Below are 13,797 nucleotides of genomic sequence, written 5' to 3' on the forward strand. Positions count from 1 at the left end.
TGCCAGCAAGAAAACTCACACCAGATGCAGCCCCTCAACCTTGGACCTCTCAGCATCCATAACTGTAAGAAATACATTCCCTTTCTTTAAAAATTGCCCAGCTTTGAGTATTCTAAGTAACAGAAAATGGACTAAGACATCACTCTTGTGAGGGAGCTTCTAGCATGCAAGCTTCCTGAGGGCAGGTCTCAGGTGTCTGAGAATATCCTTGTATCCTTGATGCTTGAGCTCTGCCTGGGATATAGTGGGGCTCATTCAGTGATAAAGATGCCATTTTATGATAGTTCATTGAGGACATTATTTTCATTTTCCTAGATACCACATTTCAAATGTAACTAAGATAAACTTTTTAAAAGAAGCTATACTGTTTATCTTACTGTCAATTATATCCCTCTATGGTTTTTCCACAAAATCTTCTCTTTGCCATGGTTGTCTCCACTTCAGATGTATACTTAAGTTTTTGTACCCAAGAATAGAACCTTACTTTTGTCACTAATTAACTGTGTCTTCTCATATTAGATCAATCACACATGCATCTTCTGATTTTTCTGAGTCTACTTTGTGATTTACTCTTTACCCCAAGTTTACTCCAAATTTCATGTTATCCAAAAATGTGATCAAATGGATTTCTGTGCTTCCCCCAAGTAGAGCCCAGGAGCCCCAGAGTAGCCAGTCTTCTAGAAATCTCAAAGTTTTCTTTACTCAGCACGTGGAAAGAATGTTCAGAATTCAAAATAATTTTGGAAACTGAAGAAGTCAGGGATAAATTACTTAATAAAGACAAAAACAAATATCTCACTTATAAAATTATATGATTGGGTATAAACAAACTACTCACAGATAGAGCTCAAGAACTAAGAAGAATCAGCAATTAATAAGTGAAAGAGCAAGCTTTCACACGTTTATTATTTTGAATTCCTCTTTCATTTTGCTAGCACATTTCTTGAGTACAGTAACAGGGAGGGTGGGGGATGCAGAGACAAATTATAGAATAGAAATCAGGTAACATGGTTCCTAGTCCTACTGGAAAGTCAACTGATAAAATGAACCCAAGGAAATTACAAACTGTGAATATGCAAATCTATAAATGGGGTTAAAAATGCTTATTGATATACCCACAGCTTCATAAGAATTATATAAATTAACATATGGAAAAGGCTTTTTGAAAAAATAGAAGATAATATTCAATAGATCATTAATACTCTTTATAATATATTTTGCTATGGTCTAAGAGCTCTCTAAATTCCCAGTACAGTCCAGGTTTTCTAGATCTCTAACTTAGTACCAAAGTCTATAAAACATTGAAAAAATTTTAAAACAAATATCAAAGTGTATACATCAAAATGAAGTGGTCTTTTCAAAATAATCACCTGGGAAGATGTTCGCACTACTCAGAACAATTTTGGAACATTTCTCTGTAAACTGGTAATTAAAATCAATTTATGAACTAACAGAAAAAAGACTCATGACTTTGGATACCTAATTCACTCAACAACCAACTTTGTTCATTCATCTTGGCTCTCTTTAGCTTTTTAAAATGGGAATGAAATCCATTCCCAATATATAAAGAGTAGTTACTACATTACCTCCCCAAATAACTATTTCTAATAGTCATTTGGATGAACAAGACACAGTTATTAAAAAATCAGTTACCCATCCAATCACAACTCATTTCAAGTGACACTGATAAACCAGAAATAGAGGAAAGGAACAAAGATATACAATGTTTAGAAAGTAATATGTGAAATAAGAATATCTAAACAACTGAGATTTTCTTTCAAAATGAAGAATAAAAATAGTAGTTTAAGACTTTGGTCAAGCATATGAAGACTCTTTGAAAAAGAAGTCAGACCGTTAATTAGTCACATCTCTGCATACAATTCAAATAGGAACGGACAGTAGAAAGGATTTGTCAGGGACAAGAAAAAATTTAGGCAAGGACATTTATATAAGGTGAGGAATTTTCTGTAGCTATACGCCTGCAAACATCTTAGCTAACTCATGATTATTCTCTAACTTGAAATAGTCATTGTGCAATGCTATTATTTTTTTCTATAGTAAAACTGTCTTTCAAAAATATTAGCTTGAGTTTCAATTAATTTCTCTTGAATCTAGATGTTAATCTTTCTATCAAGTGGAGAATGTGTAGTCACTCAAAGACGTAATAAGTTTCCATTTAATTTATTCTCTTTGCTTATAAACAACATTTGTTGCACTAGAATCAAGATGCTTTTTAAATATGAAAACCTCTTGAAAATAACCTTTCATTAAAGTAATTTAAAATAATGTGATAACTGACACAGCAATTAGAACATCATTGAATGGATAAACTAAAAGCATTTTTTTCTTATATATTATTGTGAGAATATTGAGTTTCCATTTTTAAAAATATCTACTTACATATTATTCTTAAAGTTGTAAGTGAAACATTCATTAAAGCCAGGACACAAGAAATTGCATAATGGAAAGAAAAAATATTTCTCTTTTAACCAGTTATGTGAAATAGTTCTGATTCCATTTAAAATAATTTTGAATGCTGTCAAGTATTTTTACTACATTTGTTACCCTCTGGCCTGAAACTGAATGATGATGAAATAAAAAATTAGAAGTTATTGAATAAATATTTTCCACCTACCCAATGAAAATTTGTAATATAGGGTGCAAAATTTTTATCACCTAAAGACACCCGTCAGTAAAGTTGAAGCAATGAAGCCTCTGTGTATATTATGACCAAGAGATAATATGGGTAATGCATCCATCTGCACTCAAGTGGAAACAGTGTCATCGTGCTGCTTCAATTACTTCTTTTTCTCTAATTTTAATAAAATAATACATTTCCTGATCACATTAAAAAATTCCATTTAGCTTGAACTAGCTCCATCAGAGCAGCTTTGATTATTGTTAAAAATTGATTTGGTTATCTGAGTTCAGCGAGTGGCCGTCATGTGACCATGACTTTCCACAGCAAATGCCCACTATGCTTCATCTTTCCGTTATATTTCAGGATTTTCTATTAACTTTAGTGACAAACCCACGCAGAAAAGATAGAATTAAACACACACACACACACACACACACACACACAAACACACACACATCCATACAATCTCAATGAAGGCACAGGTCATAATTGTTTGTGAATTAACTGATAAGTTTTGACTTTCTGAATCAAAGTCCTTAAGGTAATGAATTGTAATGGCAGTATCATTAAATTAAATTAAATTATAGAAACCTACAGTCATTCAGTGAAAAAAGTCATATAGTATGTATATTTTTTATCTATAGAGGAAGGTGAACATTTTATAATGAAACCTATCACTGAAAGCAACTGACTCAGTCTGAGCTTTGGTTGTAATACAAATCCCTAAATAGTTTTTCAACAGAAATTATAGTCTAGTACTTGAATACTAGAAAGAAGATACAGGACTCATTGGGAAGATAAGATCTGGGACTAACAGTGAAATCAAAACTTAAAAAAGCCAATGTTAATTTATTAAAGTTCTCCCTTCAAACTGTTTTGAAGGTGAATTACTAGTTATTTATTTATTTTTCTCTTCATGAAGAAATAATTGGCAGTCAGAAGCAAACTTCTTTTTTTCAGAGTAGCCCTCAAAAAGATTTCAAGACCTCAAGAGTTTATGAATAATTTGAGAATATAATTTAACAGGAAGGTTTTTATAAATATCAGTACCTGAAATTTACTGATAATTTTCATCTGTCCTTTTCATATTTCTAATTTGCATATTCTAACTAATGAAATCCTGTCAAATAAGATTAAAAAATCAGGGATTTCAAAGACACTGAAGTTCACTTAAATAAATTAGAAGTCAGTTGGGTTGACTGAAGAACTTATAAGAGCATTTACCCAGGAAGGCAAGCCTGTAATCGGTTTTGAATCTTATTTCTAGGCCACGGTGTTACATCTGGTTCTGTTGTAATAGTCATTTTCACTCCAAAGTTGTACTAGGAAAATGATCTGGAGTACCCAGATTACTCTCTAGCTAATTCCTTAGTTTTTATATTCAGGATTCATTGAAGCATTTTATCCATTTTAAAATTATACAGATTTAAGTGTACTGCATGATGTTTTGTTATACATATACACACTCAAATGATCACTACAGTCAAGCCAATTAACACATCTCTCATTTTACACAGCAACATTTTTTTTCTGGTGGTAAGAGTGTCTAAAATCTACTCTCTTAGCAAATATCTAGTATAAAATACAATATTATTAACTAGATTACTTGTGCTGTGCTTTAGATCTCCAGACTTACTCATCTGACATGACTGCAATTTTGTATCCTTGAACTGCATCTCTTTGTAACCTTCCTACTTCATGCACCCACATATGATAACTACAGTTCTACTCTCTAAGTAGTCAACTTTTTTTTTTTTTAGATTCCACATATAAGAGAGATCATACAACATTTTCCTTTCTGTGTTTGGCTTATTTCATTTGGCATAGTATTCTCTAGGTTCATTTATTTTGACACAAATGGCAGGATCTTTTTTACAGCTGAACAAAACTCCATTGCGTATATATGCTGCAATTTCTTCATCATTCATCTATTGATAGACACTTAAGGTTGCTTCCATATCTTGGCTATTGTGAATAATACTGCACAGAATATGGGAGTACAGATCTATCTAACTATCTGTCTGTCTGTCTATCTATCTATCTATCTATCTATCTATCTATCTATCTATCTATCTATCTATCTGTCTATCATCTATCTATATGTAGTGCTGATTTCATTTCCTTTGGGGATTTACCCAGAAGAAGGATCGCTAGGTCACATCGTAGTTCTGTTTTTAATTTTTTGAGGAACCTCCATATTGTTTTCCATAATGGCTGCACCAATTTACATTTTCCCCAACAATGAACAAAAGTTGCCCTTTCTTTACACCCTCATCAACATTTGCTATTTTTATCTTGTTTGATAATAGTTATTCTAACAGGTGTAAGATAATATCTCATTGTAGTTTTGATTTGCATTTTCCTGAAGATCAGTGATGTTAAGCATCTATTCAAATATCTGTGCCATTTATGTCTCCTTTGGTCCATTATTTACTCAGGTTCTTTACTCAAAGATATTTACTCGGGTTCTTTATTCAAAGAATATTAACGTCTACACTCAAGACACATAACTCTCATTCATTTTTCTATGATTTCACATTTTTTTTCTTCAAAGATCCTGAGTAAAAAATTTTGAAATCAGGTTGTTTTTTTTTTTTTTTTGCTTTTGAATTGTGAGAGCTCCTTATATATTTTAAATATTAACCCCTTAAAAGACATATGGTTTGAAAATATTTTTCCAAATCCATAGGAAGTCTTTTCATCTTGTTGATTGCTTCCTTTTTTGTATAGAAGTTTTCAGTTTGATGTAGTCCTACTTGTTTATTTTTCTTTTGTTGCATGTCCTTTGATGTCCTATTCAAACAATCATAGCCAAGGCCAATGTCTAGGAGCTTTTCCCCTGTGTTTTCTTCCAGGAGTTTTATGATTTCAGGTCTTATGTTTAAGTCTTTAATTCATTTTGAGTTTGAGTTTCAGCTGAGCCCAGTATTACGCTGAAGCCAAACCCAGAAAAGGGTACTATAGGAAAAAAAGTATAGGCCGTATCTCTGATAAACATGGTTGCAAAAATCTTCACCAAAGTAATAACAAACTGAATTCAACAGCACATTAAAAGAATCATTCACCATGATCAAATAGCAGTCATCTTAGAGATGTGAGAATGATTAAACCTATGCAAACCAATAAATATAACAACACATTAAGAGAATGAATCACAAAAACCATACGATAATCTTAATAGATGCAGAAAAATCATCCGACAAAATTGAACATCTTTCTTAATAAAAACTCTCAAAAAATTAGATATACAGGGAATGTACTTCAGTACAGTAAAGGCCATATATCACAAGCATGCAGCTAACATCACAGTCAATAGTGAAAAGTTGAAAGCTTTTCTTCTAATATTAAGAACAAGACAAGGATGCCCACTCTCCTCATTTTTACTCCACATAGTACTGGAAGCCCTAGCCAGATTAATTAGGAAGAAAAAGAAATAAAAGCACCCAAATCAGAAAGAAAAAGTTAAATAGACTCTGTAGATACCATATTATATGTAGGAAACTCGGAAGCCTCCACCAAAAAACAGAACAGTTAGAATAAATGTATTCAATAAAGCTGCAGGATACAAAATTCACATGCAAAAATTAGTGATGTTTCTATAAATTAACAAAAAATTATCCAAAAAAGAAATCAAAGAGTTAATCTCACTTACAGTAGCATAAAAATAAACACTTAGCGATAAATTTAACCAAGGAGGTGAAAGACCTGTATACTGAAAATTATAAAACATGAATTAAAGAAATTGAAGAAAGCACAAGTAAGTGATAAGATACCCTATGTTCAAGGACTGGAAGAATCAATAGTGTTAAAATATCCATACTATCCAAAGCAATCTAAATATTCAATAGAATCCCTACAAACATTCCACTGGCATTTTTCATAAAAAAAATCACTGAAGAGTTTTTTAAGGTAAGATGATTGGATGATTTACCATTGAAATGTTGACATCTTGTCAAAGCATGTTACAGAATAAGATCATAGAAATAAACAGTGCCACGGAGAAATGATACATTCCAAGAAAATTCGCTCAAAAATTTTGAAGCAAATTTTGCTATGAAAAGCAATAATTGGGCTGGGCATGGTGGCTCACTCCTTTAATCCCAGTCTTTTGGGAGGCTGAGTGGGTGGATCACAAGGTCAGAAGATCGAGACCATCCTGGCCAACATGTTGAAACCCCGTCTTTACAAAAAATACAAAAATTAGCTGGATGTGGTGGCACGCACTTGTAATCCCAGCTCTACTCGGGAGGCTGAGGCAGGAAAATGGCTTGAATCTGGGAGGTGGAGATTGCAGTGAGCCGAGATCGTGCCACGGCCACTGCGCTCCAGCCTGGCAACAGAGTGAGACTCTATCTCAAAAAAAAAAAAAAAAAAAAAAAAAAGAAAGAAAGAAAAAAGAAAGAAAGAAAAGCAATAATTGCCCAATAAAATGTAATCTGAAACCCTAAGAGACATTTCAGTTTATCAACTGTGAGGTGGACCCTATTTAGCTGATGTGATTACTATGCATTGCATGCTTATATTAAAATAGCTCACATAACCTATAAATATGTACACCTACTATGTACCCACAAAAATTTTAAGAAGTTTAAAAAAAGTATATGCCCTTTACTGATCAATTACATTATACTAAAATATATTATAAAATAATTAGAGATAAATGCAATTTGGTTTTCTCAGCACTGCTTAAACTAGTAGTGAAGAAGAACCCATATAATGGATTTTATAAATAAATTTCAGTGCATTTATAATATGGGATAATATGTGACCACTGAAGGTAGCACTATATACCGAAGTATGTTGAGATGCAAAATGTATTTTGGTATATCAAGTGATAATAAGGTTCAGTTTGATTATACATATGAAAATAAATAAATAAAAATAAACTGTGAGGTGATATACAATATTTTGTGAACTTACATTTAATTCCTCAATTAGCAAAAATTTAAGCAAATGATGCTGTAACCTAGGTTTTTTCTTCAATAAAAATTTTCTAGGATTTACAACCATCATTTTTTAATAAAAATATTATCTTTACAATGAAGTCTGTTTTTTTCCCACAGCACTTATCTTATGTTAAATATAATACACTTACATTTAACATTTATTGTATATTTTTCTGTCTCTGCTCACAAGAATGTAAGCCCAATAAGGTAACAGACTTTAGTTGTTTTTTTTTTTAATTCACAGAAATACTCTAAATTTCTACAACAATGCTAAGAATATATAGTAGGGTCTCAATACATATTTATTAAAAAATGAATGAATGAATTATTCTCTGTGATGCATATAAAGCAATAAAGAAGGTATGCGCTATCACACTTATGCAACTTATGAAAAAAATTAGCTTTCCATTCTTGAAATGTCATTACTCTTCTTAATGTCAGTCATATGGCTTAATTTACAAACATAGATTCATTTGGAACAGATTTTGAAATTACTAATTTGAGTGTAAATCTTTATTTTAGCAGTGAACTCACTTAATTACATAAGATTTTGAAATTACTAATTTGAGTGTAAATCTTAATTTTAGTAGGGCACTCACTTATCTACATAGTCTATACACATGATGAATAGTGTATGAGAAAAATCAGAATCAAAATATTTATTTATATTACTATTTCTACACCCATTACAGGACTTCTATTTCTATACTCTAGTGTATCAGCACCATAACCTAGATATTTAAATCAATTTCATTTGTCTGGTTATACCTGCTATAAAGAATTCATTTTGTTGGTACACATTTCACTTGTGAATAGAAATCATTAGAAAGGTGGATTTAATAAATATTGTAAAACCAGAGAACAGAATTCGGTTGGGCAATGAGAGGCAATGAAAGGATGATATGAGAGAAATGGGAGGATGATGATCAAGAGGCTAAGGGCTTTGAGCTGTATGAAAAAGATTCGAACTAACTGCAAGAAAGAATTTGAGGCTGGGTGCGGTGGCTCATGCCTGTCTGTAATCCCAGCACTTTGGGAGGCCGAGGTGGGCGGATCACGAGGTCAGGAGATTGAGACCATCCTGGCTAACATAGTGAAACCCTGTCTCTACTAAAAATACACACACAAAAAAATTAGCCGGGCATGGTGGCGGGCACCTGTGGTCCCAGCTACTTGGGAGGCTGAGGCAGGAGAATGGTGTGAACCCGGGAGGCGGAGCTTGCTGTGAGCTGAGATTGCGTCACTGCACTCCAGCCTGGGCAACAGTGCGAGACTCCTTCTCAAAAAAAAAAAAAAAAGAAAAAAAAAAAAGAATTTGATGGGAAGTAAAAAAAAAAAAAGACGAATAAAAAGAAATACTGACTAGTACCCAAGCCCCAGCAGACATTAAACACTATGTATTTGGAGTAAGCCCAATTGCAGAGTTACATTAATTTCTCTAATAATATTCAACAGCTTAAAACTATACTGAACGAAAGGTTAGGTTAACCCAAGATTAGGGAGTGGAATGAAGTGAAATTCAGTTAGAATGGAAGAAAGATGGAAATATATATTCTCTACCCTCCACTGAACTACCAAACTAAAATTATAAATTCAAATATTTCCCACCTTATGACCATCCTAAGTATATATATATATATATATATATATATATATATATATATATATACTGATTTTAATTCATACTTTAGCTAATATTGGTTAAAAAAACATGTTCTGGCTGAGTTAAAAATCTGACTCAAGCTAATGGCAGAGCTGAAAAATAATCTTTAAATTTCTACAGATTAGATTGCCAGCTCTCTGGGCAATAAATTCTCCTAGGTATTTTTTAGCTGAAATTGTCTTGATTTCCTCTTCATTTCTGAAGTAAAAACCTATGTGTGAAACTTTACATTTTTAACAAAATCATTTGGGAACCAATATTTTAATAGCCAGAAAGTCTCTGGGCTATTCCCAGCTAGAGCTAAAGAGATAATGATTTCTTTTATACCATGTGAATCCTTGTATCCCCTCTTCACAATTCTGGTAAAAACAAAACAAAACAAAAAACCCATAACCAAGCACATTCATTTAACAAACTCATTCAACCAAAATTTACTATATTTCTGTTACACACCAAGCAGTCAATACATGGGGTAACCAATAGCTTATGATGGGGCCTGGCATAAAAAGATAAATTTAGGCAAACAGATTTCCTCTCTTAGCAGTCTGAGCTGTACACAAAGGAATATAAATCATCCCATTATAAAGACACATGCATATGTATGTTCACTGCAGCACTATTCACAATAGCAAAGACATGGAATCAACCTAAATTCCCATCAATGATAGACTGGATAAAGAAAATGTGGTACATGTACACCATGGAATACTATTCAGCCATAAAAAGGAATGAGATCATGTCATTTGCAGGGACCTGGAGGGAGCTGGAGGCCATTATCCTTAGCAAGGTAATACAGGAACGGACAACCAAATACTGCATGTTCTCACTTAGAAGTGGAAACTAAATTATGAGAACACATGAACACATAGAGGGGAATGACACACACTGGGGCCTATGAGAGGGTGAAGGATGGGAGGAGGGAGAGGATCAAGAAAAATAATGAGTACTAGGCTTAATACTTGGGTGATAAAATAATCTCTATAACAAACCACATGAAAAAAGTTTACCTATGTAGCAAACCTGCACACGTACCCTGAACTTAAAATAAAAGTTTAAAAAAAGAAATCCAAGCCAATAGACAGTAAGCTATTGGGACATTTCATGGAGAAATGAGAGCTAAAAGGCTGCAATGTGGCGTGGGTCTAAGGGTCATGACAGCCATGTGATAGAAGTTCAGAGGAGGCAAGAGTAAGCCATGGAGAGAACAAGAGTGGACAGAAATTTAGTTTCTTCTGAAGAAGAAATCACATGGCTCACAAAAGAGAGATGGCAAAGGTCTTGCCCCAGGACTGTCCCACTGGTTCTTGCAGTTCCAGTTCCAGGGTCCTTTCATGTCCAGAATACAATAGGCTTCATGTGCATAGTCAGTGAGTTTCTGATTTTCCATCTAAGAGGAGCCTAAGTAGAAACTGACATTTGAATAATTATTTCACCATTCATTTCTATGAGGACACATAGTACTCTATGTATATTTACATACTAGGATCTGCACCCTGAGCACACATCTACACCCAGGACACATAACTCTCGTTTAGTTTTCTATGATTTCACTTTTCTTCTCTTCATAGAAACTTGACTCTAAGAGGTAAGCTATAGCCTGAACATGTAAGCTTTGAGTGGGCATGGAAGACTTGCGTATTACTAATATTCCCGTCTTACAGGTCCTGTGATGGAAGACAGGCAATATGCCCAGTTGGAAGAGTATTTGCTTTGTGGCTGTGAAACTCTAGATGGGAATTCTGGCTCCATTGCTAGTCATGTGACTGCTATTAAAGACACACCTAAGACTGGGTAATTTATAAAGGAAAGAGGTCTAATTGACTCACAGTTCCACATGGCTGGGGAAGCCTCACAATCATGTGGAAGGCAAATGGTGAGCAAAGTCTCGTCTTACATGGCGGCAGGCAAGAGAGCATGTGCAGGGGAACTCCCCTTTATAAAACCACCAGATCTAGTGAGACTTACTCACTGTCAGGAAAGCACAGGAAAGACCTGCCCCCATGATTTAACTACCTCCCACCAGGTCCCTCCCACAACATATGGGGATTATTACAATTCAAGGTGAGATTTGAATTGTAATCTCACACAGAGCCAAGCCATATCAATCACTTTTATCCTCCAAGCCTTAGTTGATGTCAATAAAAAAAAATATTTAAAAATTTCACTCTCAAGTAGGTTGTGGAAATACTATATGTAGCAGCAATTACTACCAGCACATGGTAGACAGTCAATAATCTTTACTTCCATGTGTGACTTGCCCATGGTCACATCTGACAATGAGCAAGAGTCTCTTCTGAAACCCACTCATAACTCCATTGTATCCTTCAGCTCAGGTATTTCTACATGTGGATGAAAATAAATTCAGGTGATACTCAAGCCTGGATACTGTTATCTTCCAGATTCTTTTTGAAGACACTGCTCCATATTCTTCCTTTCTTCTTGATATCCTAAGGTGCCTTCTTTTATCATTTTCTTTCTTCTGAAAAAGCTTTCTTTAGCCATTCTTTTGGTTAAGGATTCCTGGCAATACATTCTCTTAGTTTTTCTTCAGCCGAGAATGTCTTGATTTCTGGCTCATTTCTGAAGGATACAGGATTTTGAGCTGACAGTTCTTGTTTTAGCATTTGAAAAATGTCCCACTTTCTTCCAGACTCCATGGCTTGTGATGAGAAATCCCCTGTTATTAGAATTGTTTGTCCCCAATAAGTAAGGTGTCATCTTCCTCTTGCTGTTATCGAGGTTTTATCTTTTTCTTCAGTTTTCAGAAATTTGAATATGATGGATTTTGGTATGGATTTCTTTGAAGCTGCCCTCTTTGGAAGTCTACCTTGACCTCTTGAATCTACAGGTTTATGTCTTTTGCAAAAATTGGAATATTTTTAGCCATTATTTTTTTTCCATTCCTGCCTTTTTCACCTCTCCTCTGGGACTCTGAGGACATTAGTGTTACATCTTTTGTTATAGTCCCACAGTTCCCTGAGGGCTGTTTTCATTCTTTTCTTCAGTCTTTTTTTCTCTCTGTTTTTCATATTGGCCAATTTCTATTGCCAATTTCTATTGCTCTATCTTCTAGTTCACTGATTTTTTCTTCTGTTCTCTTATTTTACTATTGAGCACATCAGCTGAGTTTTATATTTAAGTGATTGCATTTTTAAGTCCAAAATTTTCATCTTTATATCTTCTATTTCTTTGATGAGACTTTCTGTTGTTTCATTTGTTTCAATCATACTTGTAGTTGCTTGTTAATGCAATTTTATAATGGAGGCTTAAAATATCTGACAGATAATTATAGTATCTCTGTCATGTTAATGTGGGCATCTATCAATTCTTTTTTATGATCCAGCCTGAGGTTTTCCTGGGTCTTGGTATCATGAGTAATTTTTAATTGAAATCTTGACAATTTTGGTATAATATTAAGAGACTCTTGATTTTATTTAAACTTTGTTTCTGCTAGCTTTCCTTGGTGTCAGTCTGGCAGGGGAAGTGGAGAATGCCACCTCCTTAATGCCAGATAGAAGCCCAGGTATCTTACTTGGCTTTCTTGGACACCCGAGGGGCATGGCTCCTGGTTACTGCTGGGAGGAGGTGAGAATTCTGGCTCTCCAGTAAGCCTGCACTGACACATCCCTGGCTAAGAGATGCAGGCACGCCTTGTTGCTGCTCCCTACTTGGCCTTCACTGACACCATAAGAAGGAGGAAAGGAGAGTGGCCTTATTACCACACGGTGATGATGAAGGTCCTGACTCTGCACTAGACCTCCTCTACTACTACTGCAGAAGGGGGGAGGACGGACACCTCATTACTCTCAGGTGAGGGTAGAAGTCCAGGCTTCTGATATGGGATGGGGGTGAGGGCTCATTTTTGCCCAGTGGGGATGTGAGACTGCTTGGTGAGGGTGGACGTCTAAGATCCCTACTTGTCCTTTGCTTGCATGGATGGGTGTAGGGATGGAATATTTATCCGTGGTGTTGGGTGGAGCAGGGAAGTTATGTCTAAAAGTTCTCTCTCTTGCTAGACTGCCCCTTTCCTGGTTCTTTGGCTAGAGAGAGCAGGCTTTTCATCTGTGCCTATTGTTGTTTCTGGGCTGTTGAGCTTCTTTGGCTCCAAGTGTGAGATGAGATATGTGAGGAAAAAAATCGCAGGAAACTCACCACTGTGTTGTTTCTCGGGTCTTGAGATCCCTAGCCAATCTGCCTTCTCTTCACCTTTCAGTCTTCTTATATCATCAGTTTTACATATAAGGGTTTTTAGCTGTATACAGTGGGAGGCACAGAGAAAAGTAAATCTATTCCATCTTCTTGGAAGCAGAAGTCTGCCTCCATTAGCTTTCTAATACATATTATTTCCACCATAGATTGTAGGTATTTCATAGAACAATGTTAATTCTGATTGTCAAGTTAGCAACATGAACTATTTACACTCTACCCTTTTGCCAGAGAATATGTGATGCCAAACTTTCTGCTTTCCAATTACCATCAATGCTAAGTAGTGAGAAGTCATTATTAATGGAGTATTACCAGAGAGTTCACAGTTCACAGTCTAGTCA

The 13,797-nt window shown here is 34.7% G+C and overlaps 1 protein-coding gene and 1 long non-coding RNA gene across 7 annotated transcripts in view; one reads left to right on the forward strand and one right to left on the reverse strand.

Annotated features, from left to right (window-relative positions):
• Positions 1–13,797, reverse strand: part of DPYD (dihydropyrimidine dehydrogenase) — an 843,317-nt gene that overhangs the window by 142,592 nt on the left and 686,928 nt on the right. The window lies entirely within an intron of this gene.
• The window catches only part of DPYD-AS1 (DPYD antisense RNA 1), a 227,033-nt gene that overhangs the window by 124,412 nt on the left and 88,824 nt on the right, over positions 1–13,797 (forward strand). The gene's annotated exons all lie outside the window — the stretch shown is intronic.

This window comes from Homo sapiens, chromosome 1, assembly GCF_000001405.40.
Source record: "Homo sapiens chromosome 1, GRCh38.p14 Primary Assembly".
Taxonomy (NCBI): Eukaryota; Metazoa; Chordata; class Mammalia; order Primates; family Hominidae; genus Homo; species Homo sapiens.